The 23,814-nt window shown below is 46.0% G+C and overlaps 1 protein-coding gene across 2 annotated transcripts in view; it reads left to right on the top strand.

Annotated features, from left to right (window-relative positions):
- Positions 1 to 23,814, top strand: part of PFKFB3 (6-phosphofructo-2-kinase/fructose-2,6-biphosphatase 3) — a 181,717-nt gene that overhangs the window by 91,081 nt on the left and 66,822 nt on the right. The window contains exon 15 of one of the 2 annotated variants that reach the window (NM_001363545.2): positions 18,177 to 18,647. The exons of the other annotated variant lie outside the window; for it this stretch is intronic. Within the exon in view, the coding sequence (NP_001350474.1) occupies positions 18,177 to 18,368 (192 nt within the window). The 3' untranslated portion in view covers positions 18,369 to 18,647. Of the gene's footprint in view, positions 1 to 18,176; positions 18,648 to 23,814 lie in introns of those variants that run through there. 2 annotated transcript variants of the gene reach the window in all.

Consider the following 23,814-nt stretch of genomic DNA (forward strand, 5'->3'; position numbering starts at 1 on the left):
GGTGATCTGCCTGCGTCGGCTTCCCAAAGTGCTGGGATTACAGGCATGAGCCACTGTGCCTGGCCCCACGTCGGTTTTACTCCCTTCATTCTATACCCCTTCCCCGCGCCCTTTTAAACACCAGTTCTTGCCTCATTGGCACTACAGAAGGTATCTTTCATGTTAGGTTCCTTTCACCTGCCCTTCCCCATCTCCTGGCTTCTTCCATGTTTCTGCAGGGAATAAAACTCAAGCTTCTGTGACTTCTTTGCCGCTCATTGGCTGCCAGAGGTTGAGCCGGTTATTTCACTTCCAGCCTCAGCGTCTGCATCTCTGCAGATGGGGCAGGGTTCAGGGTGGAGCGTGGCAAACACCATGCGTGGAGGAAGCCCTGGAGTGGTTCCTTCTGCAGCTGGTATGCGTGACCAGCGTCTTGCTTGGTCTGATTTTTTTTCCGGAGCCCCCCACTGCTGCGCTCCAGAAATAGCCTTGACTCCCCAGTGAGTCTTCATCCCTTAGGCGCCTGCCGCCCACGCTGTGAAGAGAACAGGCGGCAGAGACTTGGCACCTCTGTTGCGAGATGACTCCCAGGGTTGCGATCTGGCTGCAGCGTGACGGGGCAGAGCGTTCTGGGGAACCTGAGGCCACCTCCTCAAGCTCTGAGCCACGTTTGATGGCGTGAGATGTGTCAGGTGCAGGGATGGAGCAGTGGCGTTGACGGAAATCTGGCCTAGCCTTTCAGGCTGACTACCCAGAAAATTAAAAGACTGCTCCCAAAGAGGATGTCTGTGTATCGTAAGGTCCTGGGCCGGCCGGGCTGTGGGGATCCACAGGGGCTCTGACCTTTTGGGCCAGCTCTGAGATTCATCTGAGAGATGGGCTAGGTCCACAGTCACTGACTAAATACGGAAGATTCAGTAACCGGGTGGATGCTGTCGGGGAGAGGAGGGCTGGGGCCGGAGAGGGGTGGACGTTGTACACACCAGTCGTTTCCATTCGCTGCCTGGGCTCGGTTCCTTCCACTTCTCACTCCCTTAGCTCCGGCCACACTGGCCTCCTGCAGGTCTTCGAACTTGCCAACGTGCACCCACCGCAGGGCCTTCGAGAGTGCCGCTCCCTCCCCTGGGAGGTCTCCCCAGCTATCCGGGGTTCTCCCCGACACTTCCTCCCCATCCCCATTCAGTTATCAAAGCCTATGCCAAAAAGGCCTCCCGTCTCCCGAGTCCCTGCACACCTTTCGCAGTGTGTGTTGAATGCCTTGCCCTCTGTCTCCTGAACCTGGGCCTAAGATCCCGGAGAGCAGGGCAGCTCCCTGTGCCCCGTCATCGTCCATACGGACCTGGCCCGCAGTGGGCTCTGTCACTAAATGGATAACCAGTGCTGGGGAGAAGACCCAGATGATGTGCTGGTGAAGAGTGAGGCGTTCATTCAGCTTGCAGAAGGAGGCTTAGGAAGGCTTTATAGAAGAAAGGAAATGTGAGCAAAGATGTCGTTGAAAGTAACTTTTTTTGAATTAAAAATATTGTATTAACAAAAATTCAAAGCCTTCTGTGAGTTTTCAAAATCTGAATTTCACAATACTTGTGAGTTCTAAAGTTTGTTTTTTGAGACAGGGTTTTGCTCTGTCTCCCAGGCTGGAGTGCAGAGGTGTGACAGCTCACTGCAACCTCCGTCTCCAGGGCTCAAGTCATCCTCCCACCTCTGCCTCCCGAGTAGCTGGGACTACAGGCATGTGCCACCACGCCCAACTAATTTTTGTATTTTTTGTCGAGATGAGGTTTCGCCATGTTGCCCAGGCTGGTCTTGAACTCCTGAGCTCAAGTGAACTGCCTGCCTTAACCTCCCAAAGTGCTGGGATTACAGACGTGTGCCACCACGCCCAGCTAAAGACTGTTTTATAAACTTCATTTTAAGCTCATATTTTGCAAGACAACATAAGTGGGTTTGGATTCAGTTGTTCTCGGTGTGTGAGCCGGTCTTTCCAGTCAATTCATTGATGGTCTAGACAATTTGTGAAGGCGCTGGTTTCAACCTACAGTTTCTGACATACTCCTAAGACCAGGTGAAAAGAAAACCCCCATAAAGACACCCGAATCGCCTCAAAATATGACACTTCAGCCCTTGGGACTAAAGAGGACCCCTGGCGCAGTCCCTGAGAAATGTCTTTGGAGAAATTTTTATTTATTTATTTATTATTTTTTTGAGACAGAGTTTGGCTCTGTTGCCCAGGCTGGAGTGCAGTGGTACAATCTCAGCTCGCTGCAACCTCCACCTCCCAGGTTCAAGTGATCCTCCTGCCTCAGCCTCCTGAGTAGCTGGGATTACAGGTGCATGCCACTAAGCCCGGCTAAGTTTTATATTTTTAGTAGAGACAGCATTTTGCCATGTTTGTCAGGCTGGTCTTGAACTCCTGAACTCGGGTGATCTACCTGCCTTGGCCTCCCAAAGTGCCGGGATTACAGGTGTGAGCCACTGAGCCTGGCTGAGGTGCCATCTCAAAAAAAAAAAAAAAAAAAAAAAAAGATGTGAAGGAATGCCATAGTTCTCAGACTTATTGGGAGAACTAAATCTTTTTTTTTTTTTAACTTTTATTTTAAGTTCAGAGGTACATGTGCAGGATGTATAGACTTGTTAAATAGGTAAACTTGTGTCATGGGGGTTGGTTGTACAGATTATCTCATCACCCAGGCAGTAAGCTAGTACCCATTAGTTATTTTTCCTGATCCTCTCCCTCCTCCCACCCACCACCCTCTGATAGGCCCCAGTGTGTGGTGTTCCCCTCTATGTGTCCATGTGTTCTCATTATTTAGCTCCCACTTAAATGTAAGAACATGTGGTATCTGGTTTTCTGTTCCTGCATTAGTTTGCTGAGGATAATGGCCTCCAGCTCCTTCTATGTCCCTGCAAAGGATAGGATCTCATTCCTTTTCATGGCTGTATAGTATTCCATGGTGTGTATGTACCACATTTTCTTTATCCAGTCTATCATTGATGGGCATTTGGGTTGATTCCATGTCTTTGCTATTGTGAGTAGTGCTGCAATGAACATACGCGTGCATGTGTCTTCATGGCGGAACAACTTGTATTCCTTTGGGTATATAGCCAGTAATGGGATTGCTGGGTCGGATGGTATTTCTGACTTTAGGGGTTGAGAATTGCCCCACTGGGGAAGATGAAATATGAATGAAACACGCCTGACAGTTCCTGGCACAGAGAGAGCACCGCTGTGGTAGTTATTCATCTGAGCATGCATGCCCGGCGTTTCAAATGCAAGGTAGATGCTATTATCCCCACCTTTCAGATATGGAACTGTAGTCAGGAGAGCTTAAGGACGCTGCTTGATTTTGCTCAGCCATAACTGAGATAAACCAGGTCTGTTAGACTCGCAGATGAGTCACATCACAGCCTAAGGGCTCCACAGACTGCCAGGATGCTCCTGCATGAGTCAGCAGATCACAGGAAAGGGAGTTGAGTCGCATATTAATTAGCAAGCAGGGTTTCCTGTCCCTGGGGCTGTGGAGAGGTTTGTCAGTGTCCAGACGAACAACAGATTTTCTGGAGTGGGTCATAACTCAAGATGCTCACATAACGTTGGGGACCAGATGTCCATTCTGTAAGGCTATGTGTTTTTCCCTCCCTACCTCTTCCAGACAGCATCTTTGGGGATTTCCTATTCCTGGAGAACATGAAGACTTTCTAATATTTTTTTTTGAGAGAGGGTCTTGCTCTGTTGCCCAGGCTGGAGTGCAGTGGCATGATGTCGATTCACTGCAGCCTTGAACTCCCGGGCTCAAGCCATTCTCCCACCTCAGCCTCCCGAGTAGCTGAGACTTCAGGTGTGCGCCACCACGCCTGGCTAATGTTTGTATTTTTAGTAGAGATGGGGTTTCACCATGTTGGCCAGGCTGATCTCGAACTCCTGGACTCAAGCGATCTGCCCCACTGGGCCTCCCAAAGTGGTGGGATTATAGGCATGAGCCACCGTGCCTGACAATGAAGAATTTCTGAGGGGTACATTTGCATAGATAATTTTAAGGGAATGTTTTCGGATCCCCAACTTCCACATTCACCCTTTTCTAAAACAGACTGAGAAGTTTGCTTACATTCACAATAGTCTTTTACTGCTTTGCAAACAATAGGCCAAGCTCCTATTTATCTCATGCTCAGTGCTAGGATGCAGGACGTTTGCAAGTTAGCATTCCTAGATTTCTTACATGTACAAGAAAGGGCTTAGACTAGATGGTTTTTGGAAAACTTTTTATTTTGAAATAATTTATTTTATGTAAGTAGGTATGTATTTTTGAGATGGAGTCTCGCTTTGTCCCCCAGGCTGGACTGCGGTGGCACTATCTCGGCTCACTGGAAACTCCGCCTCCTGGGTTCAAGCGATTCTTGTGTCTCAGCCTCCCTAGTAGGTGGGATTACAGGTGCCCGCCTCCACGCCCAGATAATTTTCGCATTTTTAGTAGAGATGGGGTTTCACTGTGTTGGCCAGGCTGATCTCGAACTCCAACCTCAGGTGATCCGCCCGCCTCAGCCTCACAATGTGCTGGGATTACAGACGTGAGCCGCCGCGCCTGGCCTGAAATAATTTTAGATTTACAGAAGAGTTGCAAAGACAGTACAGAGAGTTCCTGTCTATGTTTCACCCAGCTGCCCGTAATATAAACATCTTACAACAACATGGTACCCTTGTCAAAACTATGAGTTAACATGATTAGTACAGTACTAGTAACAAAACTACAGACTTCATTCAGGTCTCACCAGTTTTTCCACTAATGCCGTTTTTCTGTTTCAGCATCCAGAGTCCAGGGTGTCACCTTATCTCCTTAGACTCCTTCAATCTGTGACAATTTCTCACTCTTTCCTTTTTATTTTTATTACCTTGATGCTTTTGCAGAGTACTAGTCAGGTATGTTGTAGAATGTTCTTTTTTTTTTTTGAGACAGATTCTCACTCTGTTGCCCATGCTGGAGTGCAATGGCATGATCTCAGCTCACTGCAACCTCCATCTCCCAGGTTCAAGTGATTCTCCTGCCTCAGCCTCCCAAGTAGCTGGGATTACAGGTGCACACCACCATGCCTGGTTAATTTTTTTGTATTTTTAGTAGAGACGGGGTTTCTCCATGTTGGCCAGGCTGGTCTCGAACTCCTGACCTCGTGATCCACCCACCTTGGCCTCCCAAAGTGCTGGGATTACAGCTGTGAGCCACCGCGCCTGGCCATAGAATGTTCTTTAGTTTGGGTTTGTCTCATGTTTTCTCATGATGGGACTGAGTCTGGTTAGGGATTTTGGGAAGAATCCCACCGAGGTGAAGCGCCCTTCTCATGACATCCTCTCTGAGGGGACACGGCCACACAGGACTTCCTTCTGGGGATGTTAACTTTGATCTTTGGTGAAGGTGGTGTCTAACCACTCTTACCAGGCTGGTATTTTTCCCCTTCAACTTTCAATTTTTTAGGAAGGAGTCACTTAGTCCAGCTCCCTTTCAAGGGGAGGGCAATGAGCTCCACCTCCGGAAGGGAGCAGTATCAAAGAATCTGTGGCCATGTGTTAAAACCATCACCAGGCCAGGTCGCATGGCTCATGCCTGTAATCTCAGTGCTTTGGGAGGCCAAGGTGGGAGGATCGCTTAAGCCCAGGAGTCCGATACCAGCCTGAGCAACATAGTGAGACCCCATCTCAACATACAAAAACTACCAGTGAAGGAGATACTTTGAGGGTATGTAAATATCCTGTTTCTCCTTAATGTTTCACTTTCTAATTTTAGCATCCATTAGTGTATTTTCCTTGCAGCAGATATTATTTGTATTGTGGTGTTCTAATGGTGGTTTTCTTTTTTTTAATTTTTTTTTGCTTTCTTTTCTTTTTTTTTTTTTAAGAGATGGGGATCTTACTCTGTCACCCAGGCTGGAGTGCAGTTGCACAATTATAGCTGACTGCAGCCTCTAACACCTGGGCTCAAGCAGTCCTCCCACCTCAGCCCCCCGAGTAGCTGGGATTACAGGTGTGAACCACCATGTCCTGCTTAATTTTTAAATTTTTTGTGGAGTTGGGTGTCACTATTTTGCCCAGGCTGGTCTTTAACTGGCCTCAAGTGATTCTTCCCGCCTCAGCCTCTCAAAGTGCAGGGATTATAGGCTTATGCTACCTTGCCAGGCCCTTATTCGTGAGTTTCAATTTTCCTTATTCCTTTTACACTTATTTGTAATTCTTTCATAAGGAAAATCTGTTCCGTCTCCCCATTTATTTACTTATTCAGTCATTTATTTATACTACTGTGGACTCATGATCATTCCTTTGTAGATGAATTCTTAAGTCTCTGAACTAAGTCTCTGCAAGCTCTGATTTCCATGAACTCCTTGCCTCCCACTCTCCAGAATATTTAACACTTTATATTCCTGCCCAGGACGGGCCTGGCCAGGGTACACCATCACCCCTATGTACAGAAGCAGGTACCTCGTTTTCCAGCCTGATGGCAGCCCAGCCACATCCTCACTTCGTTTTCCTCATGCGCCTTAACTATTATGCATGGTCTCTAATGTGTGCAGGCGAACCTGTGGGATGAAACTGTTCCCACCGTAGTGCCCTGAAGCAGTGTTCTGTAAACATTTTTTTTTTTTTGAGACGGAGTCTCGCTCTGTTGCCCAGGCTGGAGTGCAATGGTGTGGTCTCAGCTCACTGCAACCTCCACCTCCTGAGTTCAAGCGACTCTCCTGCCTCTGCCTCTCAGGTAGCTAGAATTACAGGTGCACACTACCACACCCAGCTAATTTTTGTATTTTTCATAGAGACAGGGTTTCGCCATATTGGCCAGGCTGGTTTCGAACTCTTGACCTGAGGTGATCCGCCCACCTCGGCCTCTCAAAGTGTTGGGATTACAGGCGTGAGCCACTGCGCCCGGCCTAAACATTTTATTTCTATAATTTACTTTATAGCAGATTCAGTTACTGACCAGCCCAAAGGGGCTTGTCTTAGTTTTTCCAGTGAGGCTTTTATAATATGACTTGGGGGAGGCTGTCTGTATCAGCAAGTATCTGCTGAATGCCTGTTATATGCAAGCCACTGTTCTAAGTATTAGGGATAAAAAAATACTGGAAGACTCGGCAACACCCTACCAGAGCTAACGTCTAATTGATTCTCTAGGAATGCTCAGGTCCTTCAAGTTCCAAGACAACCAAGAGATCTGTGAAGAAAGCCAGTGCTCCAGAGCGCGTTTCATTAGAGAAAAAAAGAGAGATCCCTTTAACAACCATGTTGTAATCCTCGGAACTGCCGCACGTCCCAAGCAGCTGGTCCTGGGACAACATATTGAGAATATTTTGTCAGTTCTGAGATTTGAAGGAAACTCAACCAAGACTATCTTTACTTAGTTATTAAATCCCAGAAGGCATCATGGATGAAGTTAGTCAGGAATGGCAAGCATAGAGAGAGGAGGAAGAAAGAAAAGGAAGCCCACAGTGTTCGCTTTGGAGACACCCTTTCTTCCCCCTGGGAAGGGAACTGGGACACGACCCTGGGCAGGCTCTGGGTGCTGTCACCCTAGTCCCATCAGTGGAGGCAGCCGCTTCCTGCAACGCTCCCCATAGAGGCTGAGACGTTTTCCTTCTGGGGCCTGTTCTCTTTCCCTAATTCAACTTTGCAGAGCTCCTCAAATGGAGTGGGGAAGGTGTGAGAGAAATTATTCTTCTGTCATTTTATAACTGCCAGGCTTTAGGAGTGCAATGTGTCAGCTATTTCTTTCCTTTTCTTTTTTTCTGAGACAGTGTCTTGCTAGGTCGCCCAAGGCTGAAGTGCAGTGGCACGATTATAGCTCATTGCAACCTTCAACTCCTGGGTTCAAGTGATCCTCCCACCTCAGCCTCCCAAATAGCTGGGATTACTTAGTGTGCGCCATCATGCCCAGCTAATGTTTTTATTTTTTGTAGAGATAGGGCCTCACTATGTTGCCCAGGCTGGTCTCGAACTCCTGGGCTCAAGCAATCCTCCCACCTCAACCTCCCGAGTAGCTGAGACTACAGGTACATACTATCACGCCCAGCTAATACTTTTATTTTTTGTAGAAATGGGGCCTCACTATGTTGCCCAGGCTAGTCTTGAAGTCCTGGGCTCAAGCAATCCTTCCACAGCCTCTCCAGTGTTGGGATTACAGGTGTGAGCCACTGCACCTGAAGCTGGTGTCAGCGATTTCTTCCTCATCCCATTGAGGGGAGAGCGTGGCCTTAACTCAGCTGTTTGGATGTCAAATGAAGAGCAGACATCAACTCGCTTGTTAGGGCTGAGAATGTACCACACACACAGGGAAACACGAAGTGAAGGCCACGTAGTGAAGACCAAACTTCCTGTTTCCCAGGCAGCTTAACCACCACAGGCTGCAGGAATATTAGTGAAGCCCATGGGGAAGGGAATTTCTGGAGGGACCATGGTCTTTCTGGACCAACTTGGCTGCTCATTCTTTTTGAGGAAAACACTAACCGTATTCCAATTCGGGGCAGGCCTGAGAATTTGGGCGCAGCATCCAGAAAAGCTGTATTTAGCAGGTGCTCTGGGGCAGGTCCTCCTACAAAGCACACCTTAGCCCAGTTGAGAATCTGGGCTAAGATTCTGTCGCTATTCTCTTACACGGTAATAAATTAGTTCTTTTGCAAGCAGATTAGACCGAGACAAGTAATTCTTGGTCTTCTAAATCCACAGCTCACAAAGGATTAGGGAGGGATGAGAAGCTGGAAAGGGCAGCTAAGGATATAAGCACGTTGGACTGGAAATGCCCTCATCACCCAGAGGGTGTTATGTAAAAGTGAGAAAGGCTGGGTTAAATCAGGTTCATTCGTTCATTCGTAATTGAGAGGGAGAGTTCCTATTAATGGCCCGAGATTGTGCTGAAAGCTAGGAGTTCATTTTATAAGATATGAATGAAAGAAACAGTTCCTAGCATACACTCACCATAAAATGAGATTTTTAGTCTTAGAAGCCCAGTTTGCTTGAGCTGGGACCTTCGAGATCTGCAAGTTTAAACTCCACCACTTTACAGGTGGGGAAACTGAGGCTCACAGAGGGAAAGCGAGGTCAGGTGTCACAGCTGCTGGGACTAAACAACTTGACTTGTGGTCTAGCTCTCTTATTTATTTATTTAGAGATGGAGTCTTGCTCTGTTGCCCAGGCTGGAATGCAGTGGCACGATCTCAGCTCACTGCAACCTCTGTCTCCTGAGTTCAAGCAATTCTCCTTCCTCAGCCTCCCGAGTAGCTGGGATTACAGGCATACGCCACCATGCCTGGCTAATTTTTATATTTTTAGTAGAGACGGGGTTTCACCATGTTGGCCAGACTGGTCTCGAACTCCTGACCTTGTGATCTGCCCGCCTTGGCCTCCCAAAGTGCTAGGATTACTGGCATGAGCTACTGCACCCGGCCTATTTGATTTATTATTATTATTATTATTACTATTATTTTTGAAACAGGGTCTGGCTCTGTCGCCCAGGCTGGAGTGCAGTGGTGCGATCAGGGCTCACTGCAGTCTCAACTTCCTAGGTTCAAGGGATCCTCCGTCCTCAGCCTCCCCCGTAGCTGGGACTATAGGTGTGCACCACCACACCCAGCCAATTTTTGTATTTTTAGTAGAGACTAAATTTCTGCTCCATGTTGCTCCATGTTGTCCAGGCTGGTCTCAAACTCCTGGGGTCAAGTGATCCGCTCACCTCGGCCTCCCAAAATGCTGGGATTTCAAGTGTGAGCCTTATTTTTTATTTTTGAAGGCTAGTCAAGTGAAGCAATGGGAGTGGAGAGGAACAAAGTAATCTGTAATGAATTGTGATCAATTAGTTGTAAGCACTACTGCACTCAGACCAGCCTGATGTGGCTCTCTTTTCAGTTAAAACTACTTACCTGGAAAGAGTGAGAAGGCAAACAGTGCCCTGGGAGTTGTCAGAAGCTCTAAGTAGCATTAGGGAGAATGTTCTAGGATGCCGGATATGGCAGCTACGGCTAACTGATAAGAAGACAATTTCCTTCTCTCTCCTGAAAGCCGCCTCCTCTTCCTTCTTCTCGAAGACCCTCTATGCAATCCCTTTAGCCTCCCACTTCCTCCCCATGGCCTGGATGCCCTGGGTTGATCTCTGGTGATGGCCATTCACCCGGCTGGGCCCAGGCTTCCTGAGGGTCTCCCATTGACACAGTGAATTTGCCATGTGACTTGCACAGGGAAATTTGGACAGAATTTCCCAAAGAAAGGACTGGAGCAGTTTACACTCAGATTAAAAACACAGAACACAATCCTTTAATCCGGTAACAATCACTTGATTTATTTATTTTTTTCTTGATGTACATTTTTATTTTTATTTATTTTATTTATTATTATTATTATTATTAATTTTTTTGAGATGGAATCTCACTCTGTTTCCCAGGATTGAGTGCAGTGGCACGATCTCGGCTCACTGCAACTTCCACCTCCCGGGTTCAAGCAATTCTTCCTGCCCCAGCCTCCTGCGTAGCTGGGACTGCAGGCGCCTGCCACCACGCCTGGCTAATTTTTAAAAATTTTTAGTAGAGATGGGGTTTTACTATGTTGGTCAGGCTGGTCTTGAACTCCTGACCTCAGGTGATCCGCCCGCGTCGGCCTCCCAAAGTGCTGAGATTACAGGCAAGAGCCACTGCGCCCGGCCTATTTTATGTATTATTTATATATTAATATTTTTAAAATGTTAGATTTGGAGGGGAGATGTGCAGGTTTGTTACGTGGGTATATTGCATGATGCTGAAGCTTGGACTTCTAATCATCCTGTCCCCCAAGAAGTGAACTAAGTACCCTTGATTCCCGTGCCTTCTCCTCTGCTTTTGGAATCCCCAGTGTCTGCTGTTCCCATCGTAAGCAGTTGCTTTAGACAGCAGCTCTAGGACGCTGGAGAAAAATGTCCATTTTACAAGTTAGGTGCCGAAGAAGCCACCTGAGATGCAACAGCTTGCATCCCTAACCCGAGGCTGGTGCGGCGCCCTTGCCCTGTGGGTCTGTTGCCCAGACCCGGACATGCAACAAGTCCCAAACGAAGTCAGATGAAGGGCCGAGGCCATTATGTAGATAAACCAAGGGCAACATTGGCTTCATTCATTCACTGGAAGCAGAAGCAAGATGTCTAAACGGCTGTCTTCATTCTCGGCTTGGCTACCAGGGATCTCACCTCCTGGTATTTGGATGTTAGGATACGTCACGGTGGGGCCAGTGTTTCTTTTGGGTAGAAAACTTCGGTTCAGGCTCTGAGGGAGGAAACATTGTCAGCTAAATGAAATAGAGCCAAAATTTCTTTTATGTTTGGAGCCAAACCTTGGTCAAAAATGGAAAGGCTTTGCCTCTGACACAGCCTGATTTAATTGTTGAACAAAGCCCTCTTCTTGTGGGGAAGAAAAATGAGGACTCTAACAATTAGCCTTCTAAAATGTAGGCCTGCAAAAACAACTGGGAGGAAATAGGCAGTGACATCCATCCGCCCACTGCTTCTTGGCCAGTTCAGGCCAAGGCCAAACAAAGGAAAAATACATCCAATCGGTTCAAGAGTTCAGCTCTCCCTTCATTAAGCGAAAAGCTGAGCTCCCCTCTCCCCGCCAGCCCAGAGCCCTGTCCCATTCCACTGTGAAGGTTTATCCTCCAGACCCCTCCTAAGGAACGCCTCCCTCTCCTCTCCTGGCCAGTCCAGAGCCCTGACCCATTCCACTTCCGTGATGGAGTGTCCTCCAGACCCCTCCTAAGGAACCCTTCCTCGTCTTGACAGGGGTGTCTCATATGAACTTGATTTTCCTACTAGGGAATGAATAAATCAATAGTCTCAAAGAAGAAACAAGTGTCCTATTAGAATACCTGCAGTGGGTTTTAGTCTTAGAGCATCCCATGAAATCTTCCCCACCACTTTATGAGCTGGTTATTTATTTTTTCCTATTTAATATATGAAAAAACTCAGGCTGAGAGGTTTAAAAATGTAGGAGGTTAGAATATTTGCCCCAGATCACACAGGTCACCCTGGGTAGAGCAGGCAATAAATCAGGTAACAATGGCTGCCAAGTGGCCATCAAGCCAATGCCTTTGTTATTTTCCTGGACTCACCTTGGATTGGAGAAAAGTTAATCAGTTTCCAGAAAGGTAAGAGACCCAGTGGAGCAGGGCCTTTTGAGAATGAAAACTGACCTTTTCTTTCACTGTTATTGTTGTGATTTCCCTGGAAATATATTCACCCCCAGTTTTCCTGGGCCAATATAAAGTTGTTCATTTTGCTGGCTTGGAAATGTTATTCTCTCTCCTTGTTTTGAAGTGTTAAATGTGTGGTTTTCAAAATGCATTTCTCAAACCACTCTACGGAAAGACAGCAAATAATCTGATTAAAAAATGTTCAAGGATGCCTGTAATCCCAGCACTTTGGGAGGGAGGCCGAGGTGGGCAAATGGCTTGAGGTCAGGGGTTTGGGACAAGCCTGGCCGACATAGTGAAATGCTGTCTCTACTAAAAATACAAAAATTAGCTGGGTGTGGTGGCACGTGTCTATAATCCCAGCTACTCGGGAGGCTGAGGCATGAGAATCACTTGAACCTGGGAGGCAGAGGCTGCAGTGAGCTGAGATCGTGCCACTGGATTCCAGCCTGGGCAACAGAGGAAGACTCCATCTCAAAAAAAAAAAAAAAAAAAAAAAAGGCAGGGGATCTGAATAGATGTTTCTCAAAAGAAGACATGCAAATGGCCAACAGATATATAAAAATATGTTCAATATTACTAATGTTGATTAATGCGTCATTAATGCATTCATGTGGATTAGGAAAATGAAAATTAAAACCACAATGAGATTTTTAGTTCACACCTGTCAAAATGGCTATTGTCAAAAAGACAAATGATAACAAGTGTTGGTGAGGATGTGGAGAAAAGGAAACCCTTAGGTCGGGAACAGTGGCTCACGCCTGTAATCCCAGCACTTTGGGAGGCCAAGGCAGGCGGATCACCTGAGGTCGGGAATTCGAGACCAGCTTGACTAACATGGAGAAACCCTGTCTCTACTACAAAACACAAAATTAGCTAGGCATGGTGGCACATGCCTGTCATCCTAGCTACTCAGGAGGCTGAGGCAGGAGAATCGCTTGAACCCAGAAGGTGGAAGTTGCGGTGAGCTGAGATTGCGCCATTGCACTCCAGCCTAGGCAACAAGAGCAAAACTCCGTCTCAATTAAAAAAAAAAAAAAAAAAAAAAAAAGAAAAGAAAAGGAAACCCTTGTACACTGTTGGTGGGAATGTAAATTAGTACAGCCACTATGAAAAATTGTATAGAAGTTCTTCAAAATGTGGAAAATAGAATTACTATTAATATATGATCTAGCAATCTCACTTCTGGGTATTTATTCAAAATATTTGAAATCACTGCATTGAAGAGATGTGTGCCCTTCCATGTTCATCACAGCACTATTGACAATAGCCAAGTTATGGAACCAACATAAGTGTTCAGCAACATATGAATGGATAAAGAAGATATGGCATATATACAAAATGGGGTACTATTCAACCATAAAAATAAACTTTGTCATTTGCAACAACATGGATGGAATTGGAAAACATTTAAATACATTAAATAATCAAGGCACAGAAAGAAAAATACTGCATGTCCTCACTTATATGTGGAATCCGAAACAGTCAAACTCAAAGAAGCAGAGAGAAGAATGGTGTTTACAGAGGCTGGAGTATGGGAGAAATGGGTAGCTGATGGTCAAAGGGTACAAAATCTCAGGCAGGTGGAATATTTGTGTGTGTGTGTGTGTGATATTGTACAGCATGGTGACTATAGAAAATAATAATGTACATTTCAAAATTGCTAAGGGAGTAAATTTTAAATATTCTCACCACAAAAATGATAAGTATTTGAGGTGACGTATATGTTAATTAGCTTGATTTAGTTATTCCACATTGTATTCATAAATCTAAACAAGACTTTGTACCCTAGCCATATATAAATATTATTTGCCAATTTACAATTTAAAAATGTGAACATTTAAAAAAGCATTTTGTTCCTGATGCTGCATTCCTAAAGGCTAAATCTCCTGGAAGCATATTGCATCAACCACCTCACAAACAATTATTGGACTCCTACTACAGGGAAAGTGTTATGTTGGGTGCTGTGGAAGAGACAAGGGTGACCCAAAAATAGCCTGAGCCCTCAGGAGGTAAAAGGCTATGGTATAAAATAGTTTAACACATAAAATATAAGAGATGTGCTATGGTTTGAATGTGTCCTCTCCAAATTTCAGGTGTTGCCAATGTGACAGTATTAAGAGGCGGGGTCGGCCAGGCGCAGTGGCTTACTCCTGTAATCCCAGCACTTTGGGAGGCCGAGGCGGGCAGATCACGAGATCAGGCAATCGAGACCATCCTGGCTAACACGGTGAAACCCTCCCTGTCTCTACTAAAAATACAAAAAAAATTAGCCGGGCATGGTGGCGGGCGCCTGTAGTCCTAGCTACTCAGGAGGCTGAGGCAGGAGAATGGCATGAACCTGGGAGGCAGAGCTTGCAGTGAGCCAAGATCACGCCACTGCACTCCAGCCTGGGCGACAGAGCGAGACTCGGTCTCAAAAAAAAAAAAAAAAGAGGTGGGGTCTTTGAGAGGTGATTAGGCCCTGAGGGCTCCTCCCTTGTGAATGGGATTAGGTACCCTATAAAGGGCCTTGATGGAGAGATTGGCTCCCTCTTCCCCTTTCCCACCTTCTGTGATCTGAGGACACAGCAGGAAGGCCCTCACCGGATGCTGGCACCTTGATCTTGGACTTCCTAGCCTCCAGAACTGTGAGAAAATACATTTCTGTTTTAATAAATGACCCAGTCCCAGGAATCTTGTTATAACCGGCCCAAATGGCAAATGGACTAAGGGACTACAACCTGTCTTAGTCAGGATGGTATGAGTGGGTTGAACTACGCCAGCGCTTCTTAACTTAGCCGCACACCAGAATCATCTTGTGACCTTTCACGAGTGCTGAGGTCTGAGCCTTACCCCACAGAGATTCTGTTTTAATTGGTTTGAATACTGCTTTGTCCCCCGTCCCCATGGGTATTTTTAGAGGTTCTGTAGGCTATTCTAATCTGCAGCCTAGGTTGAAACCATTGAACCAGGAAAACCCAAAATATATTTTCCAGCTCAAATATTTCACAAGTTGAAATCAATGTAAATAGACTTTGGATATTCAGAAGGCAAGGATGGGGTGGAAAGAGAGTACCAGACTGATATCTTTTTATCTCATTGAATCTTCAAAAAGTCCCTGCATCTCCCTTAGTCTGTGGCAAAACCAGCCACCCACCTGCCCATCCAGACTCAGCCGTCATCTCCAGGGAATGGTGCCCGTCTCCATTCACCCAGGAAGAGTCCTTGCTCTCTTGAGTTTTTTGAATTAATAGTTCCCCAATAGCTTTTTGAAAAATATGTCTTTGTTAGCTTATCCAGTTTCCTTTTTCTTTTTTCAGTTGTTGTAGCTGTGGATGTGATGGTTTGTTACAACCTTGTACATTTCAGTTGGAAGCAAAACTATTCCTATTAGGCATTGGGAAGCCTCGCAAGAAGAGAGAGATGAATTGGTGTGTGGGGAAGATCAATCTGGTGGCCAAGGCAGGAAAAGTTAAATTTAGGAGAACAGGGATGTGTGCAGAGAGGAGGGCAGTGTCAGATTGTGATGGAAAGAGACAAATAAGAGAGGCCTTGGCTGGGTGCAGTGGCTCATGCCTGTAATCCCAGCATTTTGGGAGGCCGAGGAGGGTGGATCACGAGGTCAGGAGTTCAAGACCAGCCTGACCAACATAGTGAAACCCCATCTCTCTAAAAATACAAAAATTAGCCAGGTGTGGTGGCGGGTGCCTATAATCCCAGCTACTCAGGAGGCTGAGCCAGGAGAATCACTTGAACCCGGAAGGTGGAAATTGCAGTGAGCCAAGATTGTGCCACTGCACTCCAGCCTGGGTGACAGAGTGAGACTCTGTCTCAAAAAAACAAATAAATAAATAAAATAAAATAAAGGCCTTATGAGAGAATAAATTTCAATTTGTAGGGATAGATTCAAATTCATGCCTGTCCATCTTTAAAACCTGGACACTTTGTCTACACCATCTGTGTAACTGGCTGCAAGAACCCACTGTTCCTACGGAGTGGCTAATACAGAAGTAAAACTCTTTGGCTTAAATTGTTATCCTGGTGTATTTATGGGAGAGCCTTTTGGCTTTTGTGACTGCTACATCCAACTCTATTTTATCTGAGAATGGCTGAGATGGTTCAGGCCAAACTCATGGTATAATTGGTAATAGATACCCAGAACTTTCTCTGTAAGTTTCCTTTGCGATTTTTTTCTTTTGATGTAGTTTGGGGTTAACAATAGTGTATACTTGTGGATTAGTAATTGGATAATTAAACATGTAAGTGTTTCATTTTAACAAGTTCATCTCTCTTGATTCATCGATTCAGTTTCTAGAAATCTCTCCCAAGGCATACATGCAGACAAAGGCTTATAAAGAAAGTTATTTATGATAAGGACAAACTTAGAAATGATTGAAATACCTTATTTACATAGAAGAATGAGATATATATAATACGCACATTTAGAACCATATGTGATTATGAAAATATCTGATATAGCTTAAATGGCCATCAATATGGAATTGGTTAAAAGATATGATATAACACTATGGAAAACTATGTGATAATTAAAAATAATGGGGTCATATATATGCAGAGATTTGAAAATATCTCTAGTACATATTGTTGTATCGTATAATTCCATTCATGTCTCTCTCTATGTGTATATTATGCCAGTGCATAGAAAAACACTAGAAGGATACATAGCACACTGTTAATAGAGGTAAATAGTTTTTTAGAAGTAGGGGAGAGGGATGATAAAAGGACCTTTCTGTTTTACTCCATAAACTTTTATATTTAGATCTTTTTTTGTTTTTGTTTTTGAGACAGAGTCTCGTTCTGTCACCCAGGCTAGAGTGCAGTGGCGCGATGTCAGCTCACTGCAGCCTCCACCTCCTGGGTTCAAGCAATTCTCTGCCTCAGCCTCCTGAGTAGCTGGGATTACAGGTGTCCACCACCACACCCAGCTAATTTTTGTGTATTTTTAGTAGAGACGGGGTTTCACCATCTTGGCCAGGCTGGTCTTGAACTCCTGACCTTGTGATCCACACGCCTCGGCCTCCTAAAGTGCTGGGATTATAGGCATGAGCCACCATGCCCGGCCTATATTTGGATCTTTTACAACAAGAACATTTACATCGATTGCCCTTGTAATTAAAAATCATAAAATCGTAACTGCTTCTTTTGAAAAGGCTTGACTGTTAGTCTTCTTCCTAGGTGGCTTCTCATAAGCTTGGCTGCCTTTTGAAGGATGAAAAACAAATTACTCTCTCTATTAAAGTGCTCTCCGAAAATTTAACAAATTGGGCAATTGCTTTGAGGTGAACGAGTCACCAGGCCAGGTTGCAGACACCCTTGGCTAAGGTCAATGGCCATGCATCAGGGAAGTGGTACCCTAAAGGAGCTGGATTTGTCCCAGGCCAGGGTGCCAGCGGGGGACGGGGGTGTGTTCTGTGACATGAGCTCAGAAATGTCTTCCCACTATCTTTGATTTCAACATTCTCCTGCCTCAGGTGCTGGTGCAGAGAGGAGAAAGAAAAAAAAAAGATGCGGTCATATCCTGGTGGTGGGGGATGAGGGATAGAGAGGGCAGTTTGGACTTCACCTAGACAAGAGAAAGCATAGTCTTCAGGAAGGTGATATGCTGGCTGGGCACGGTGGCTCACGCCTGTAATCCCAGCACTTTGGGAGGCCAAAGTGGGCAGATCAGTTGAGGTCAGGAGTTTGAGACCAGCCTAGCCAACATGGCGAACCCCGTCTCTACTAAAAAATATACAAAAATTAGCCAGGCATGGTAGTGCACACCTGTAGTCCCAGCTACTTGGGAGGCTGAGGCAGGAGGATCGCTTGAACCCAGGAGGAAGAGGTTGCAGTGAGCCGAGATCGTACCACTGCACTCCAGCCTGGGCGACAGTGAGACTCCGTCTCAAAAAAAGGGTGATGAGGAATGGAGGGTCTTTTTCATCCATGTACTTTCAGATGGCTTTTTTTTTTTTTTTTTTCTCTTTAGCCCTTTCTGAGGTATCCACTCAATCTAATCCACAATGTACTCCTTCCTGTTTAGGAGTTAAAGAGTGGAATTCCTGGAAGGGACCCTGAGCCACCAGTCCAGCCCCCTGAAGGGCAGAGCATTCTCTGGATACCCAGAGAGGTGACCGTGGCATCCAGGAGTGGACCCGGGGCTGCACCAAGCATCCCGGAGCCCAGACTGGTCTCGCTTCCTCACCTTTCTGGCTCTGCGGCAAGCGGCTCCTAATGATACCTGGCTGAAAGAGACCAATTAACCTGAGCTGCTGAGGACTCTGAGAAGCTTCCCTTATGCTGTGGTTATGTGGGATTTCCCAGGTCAGTGTCAGTTGTGTAAAATACAGAGGTCTCCAATGGATGATGGGTAGTTTATGACACTTCCACTTTACAATGATGCAAGAGAGATACGCATTTTGTAGAAGTGGAAATAGTGCTTCGAGTTCCCATACAACCATTCTGTTTTTCACTTTCAGTACAATGTTCAATAAATTACATGAGATATTCAACACTTTATTATAAGATAGACTTTGATGATTTTACCCAACTATAGGCTAATGTAAGTGTGCTCAGTGTGTTTAAGAGAGGCCAGGCTAAGCTATGATGTTTGGTAGGTTAGGTGTTCTCAACTGCATCTTTGACTTATGATATTTTCTTATTTTTTTCTGTTCTTTTTTTTTTTTTTTTTTTTTTTTTTTGAGAAAGAATCTCGCTCTGTCACCCAGGCTGGAGTGCAGTGTCACGATCTTGGCTCATTGCAGCCTCCCACTCCTGGGTTCCAGTGGTTCTCCTGCCTCAGCCTCCCGCGTAGCTGGGATTACAGGCACGTGCCACCATCCTGGCCAATTTTTGTATTTTTAGTAGAGACAGGGTTTTACCACATTGGCCAGGCTGGTCTCGAACTCCTGATCTCAAGTGATCGGCCCACCTCGGTCTCCCAAAGTGCTGAGATTACAGGTGTGAGCCACTGGACCTGGCCAATCTCTGTTTCTTTTCTTCTTCTTTTTTTTTTTGAGACGGAGTCTTACCCAGGCTGGAGTGCAGTGGCCTGATCTCAGCTCACTGCAACCTCTGCCTCCCGGTTTCAAGTGATTCTCCTGCCTCAGCCTCCTGAGTAGCTGGGATTACAGTCACACGCCACCATGCCCAGCTAATTTTGTGTTTTTAGTAGAGATGGGGTTTCTCCATGTTGGTCAGGCTGGTCTCAAACTCCTGACCTCAGGTGATCTGCCCACCTCGGCCTCCCAAAGTGCTGGGATTACAGGCGTGAGCCATCGCAACTGGCCCAACCTCTGTTTCTTTCTAGTCCCCATGTAAGCGAAGCAAAATTTAATACATTTGTTTTTTAATTAATCCATAATAATGCAAAAATGCAAGATATATTTTCGGGGAAGGGTACTTCAACGGGTGTGTCTCCCTTATCTGACTGTGTACACCTGGGAGGAATAGAGTGTACTTTTCTGTTTTGTTTGTTTAGTAGCCAGAACTCTGCCAGGCCAAACAAACGATGTAGTTGATGGGACAGAGTTTGCCAGGGTTGTCGGCTGTGTGAAGGTGTGAGCGGGAACTCCATGTTCTGAACAACAGCAGTCGGCTGGGGAAGCTCCAATGTCCAGGCTCAGAGAAGCGGACTGGGTAGGCGGGGTACGAAGCTGATGGAAAAGTACCCAGCTGCCTCCTCTTCAGTTCTTCAGCCTCACCGTGTGCGGGAGACGTGTCACAGCAGCATTCTATCATCATTATCCTGGAAGGGAGCGTTGGCGGGGTGGGAGGGCAGCCCTGACATTCACCCGGTTCCTCCTGGGCTCGCCGTGGTTCTAAAAGCATTAGCCGCGTGCTTCAGCGGGAAGAGCCCCAGGCCAGGAACAAGGGGCGTAGGCTGCAGCCTCTGACTTGCCACTAATGAGCTGGTTTGGGATAAGCCACATAAACTCAGAAAAATAGTCATTCCGCCCCCGGCCCCATCACAGTCTGATCTCTAGGTTCCTTTCTAACCCTGAGAGTTTAGGGCCTGTGCCCTTTGAACCCACTCTATCTTCTGTTCTCAGCATCCAGACTGGTACTTTTCTGGAGAAGGTTTAAATCTCCTTTCTTGGGTGGCTTGATGTAGTACTCCTAAACCAGAGGACATGAATTCCCAGGGACTAAGCAGGATTTTGTTTTGGGATAGGAAGTGGCAGGTCACTCAAGGACTTGGGGGGTGTAGGTAACTGAACCTACCTTCAGTTTCGTCATCCCTCATGGAAAAAGAAAAAAGGATGGAGTCTGTTCTTCCAAGGATGTGCATGACAGTACCCGGAGGGGACGAGGCTCTACATGGTCCCCAGCTGGTCCCAGGGTTGTGCCAATAAATTCAGGTCTGCAGCGCCTTCTTCGCATACTTCATCTCCAGCCAGGCTGCCATGTGCATGGAGATGGCAGCCACCACACCTCTCTTTCCACAAGGTGGCTGTTGTCAGTGGTCTGACTTCATTCATTGCCCTGGAAAGCTTTAAAAATGAGGCGTGGCTCCTCCCAGGTGTATTTAACGTGACGAAGCTTCTGCATTTTGCAATCCTGAAACTTCACGAAGGAACTATTCAGTAAGTAGAAACCTGTAGGCAGAGATGGGAGGGCCTTTCAGACCTGGATAGGATGTTCAAATCGACCCATGGGAGGAAGAAAGGGTTCAGATCATTGCTGTGGTGGGTTCTGGGCAAAGGGAACCGTGCGAAGGGAGACTCCACTCTGTTGCTTCCCCAGAGAGTGAGAGTTTAGCTTATTTTCAGAGGTTTCCTAGACAAAAGCGTTCCAAATAGATTTCTAGATGTCTTAGCTTCACGTTTCAAAAAGAAATACTCAACCTACTTAGAGCTCTTTCTTTTCTAAAATTCCCAGGAAACATCACAACAGCATCATATTTAAAATTTTTTTTTCTTTCTTTTGCTTTCACTGTCCTCACAATTCGTTCCCAACAGCAGCATCATAAATGAAGTGTTTCCATCATCACAATTTCATCTTTAGTTGGGGCCATCCGAGGAGTTGGGAAGAGACAGGCACTGCTGTGTGAGACCCCAGATTGTCATACAAAGAACCCTTTCTGAGTCATTGATCTGAAAATACACCAGCAGGTTCCAGCCTATTGTATCTAGGCTGTGTGACAACAACCATTGATTACCTGGGAGTCTGAGCTCAAGGGGGTTCAGGAAGTTGTGTGGGCTGAACTTTTTGATCCTAACTCAACTCTGGGAAAAATAAACAAGCACACGAGTCATTTATATTCATGGTCACTAATAAAGGTGGTGGGTTCCTTGAAGCCATGTTTACATTCTTATTTTTAAATCATGACGATGGGAGGTCAGACAAGTGACTTGACCATGGTAGGGACTTGTAAGAGTGGCCAGGATGGAGGGCAGTTGAGGACCCTGTTGTAGGATTAGTGTGCTAGCCCGTGTCCAGAATGGTCTGTGATGGGAAAAATTGGAAAAAACATTACAGTCCACTAATAGGAGGTTGGTTAGGTAAATGGTGGCATGTCCTGTGCCATGGAGTATTGCATGCTGTGGGTCACCTTCCCCAGACACACCCTGCGATGAGGGTTTCTGTGCATGGGATTTATTATGGAAGAGTTCCTAGGACAACCTTGTGAAGGAGTAGGGAAGCTGGGAAGGGAGATGGAAGGAACAAGTCAGGATGTAATTTCAGATCGGGTCTGGCACCCACCTGATCCCCATGCGGGACTCTGGAGTGTAGATTACACCCACTGGAGACAAGGAGCCAGGTGTTGGTAATCCTTCAGCCCCTCCTAGCACAATGGCTCTGGGAGCCCAAGGACAGGTCTCAGAAGAGAGTTATAGGGGTCAACACCTAAAGCAAAAGCTCACCTAAGCCCAGGCATGGACACTCCAAAATGAGAAAGGGACCGGCGGGTAGAAGCAGACGGCCTGCTTTACTATGCAGCCATCAATAAGAAGGAAGTAGAGTTCAAAGTACATCGACGGGAATTTCTTCATGGTAAGCACTGAGTGAGAAAAGCAGTCTACTGAGCAGCATATATATTTTGATCTTATTTTTTTTTTGGAAAAAGAAATATGTGTATGCACATACAGAAAAAAGTCTGGGAGGAAACAGACCCAACTCTTTATTGTGTTACTATAAGAGAGTTTCAGATTGGGGAAGAGGGGTGAAGGGATCATGGAGACATTCAGATTTTATGAGCAGGTATGTCTTGCTTTATAACAGGAACAAAAAAGACAGAAATGCACAAGGCCTCTGCCATACAGCAGGAGCATGTGCCTGTGCAGTTAATGGGCTTCTCTGTTTCTGGGCCTGAGGACCAGACAGGCCACACTAAGTAGACCATAGGGACCACTTGGTGAATTTAGGGATGTTTCCCTTGAATGAACAGCACTCTGAAGTCTGCAATTAAACATAATACTGGACTGGAAATTGTGGCCTCAGTGGTCCTCATTTTGGATGACTGATTGTCATTTTAGGCTGTCTTAGGAAAACCTGCTCTTAGCCTAGTGTCTTCTCTTCCTGTTTGAATATCCACTGGATGTTCATTAGCTTAGCCTCTGCTCCCTGTAGGGGATTGTCTGAGTGGAAAAATTACTCTCATGCTTTGCCCACAGCCTGGATTGATGGCCTTGGCAGAACATTAAATTCGTAGGTGAAATAAACTCTCTTCCCACTTGGTGGTAGGTTAGAGATCCAGGCTGACATAATTCTTTCCCCTGGTCAGTAAACAGCCAGGAATGACCATGGAAAGGCCTGCAAAAATGGCCACCAACTTTCCTGTTACCACAAAGCCTAAAATTACACTCTATCATATATGGTGCTGTGTTTAGCTTTGGGCAGAGAGAAAACTGCATGGAGGAAGTATTTACACCCTTGGGGTTGCAAGATTTTCATCAAAACCACTCTTGTTTCAGTTCATCTATCCATACACTCATCCATCCATACACTCATCCACCCACCCATGCATTCATTCATCCATCTATATCCATCCATCCAACCATCCATCCATCCACCCACCCATCCATTTATTCATTCATCCCATCCATCTATCCATCCATCCATCCATCCATCCATCCATCCATCCACCCATCCATTTATTCATTCATCCCATCCATTCATCTATCCATCCATCCACCCAACCATCCATCCATCCACCCAACCATTCATCCATCCACCCAACCATCCATCCATCCATCTACATCCATCCATCTACCCATCCACCCATCCATCCATCCATTCACCAACTCATCCATTCATCTGCTCACCCATCCACCCATCCATCTACTCATCCATCCATCCACCCATTGATCCATTCATAAATCCATCCACTCATCCATTCATTCATCCATCCATTTGTTCATCAGCCCATAATTCCATTCATCCATCCACCCACCCATCCATCTGCTCATCCATCCATCCATCCATCCATCCACTCATCCATCCACTCATCCATCCATCCATCCATCCATCCATCCATCCATCCACCCATCCATCCATCCGTCCATCCATCCATCCTTCCATCCATATTTCTAGTAATTATTGAGTGACTCTCATGTACCAAGCATTGTGGTAGTCACCTTGTCTCCTGGCATTTACCTGCAGCAAACACACTTAAATCTTACCTCCAGCCTTTACCTGCAGTTTTTGAGAATATACTAGAAACAATTTTAAGTCCTCTC

Source organism: Homo sapiens, chromosome 10 (genome assembly GCF_000001405.40).
Source record: "Homo sapiens chromosome 10, GRCh38.p14 Primary Assembly".
Lineage (NCBI taxonomy): Eukaryota > Metazoa > Chordata > Mammalia > Primates > Hominidae > Homo > Homo sapiens.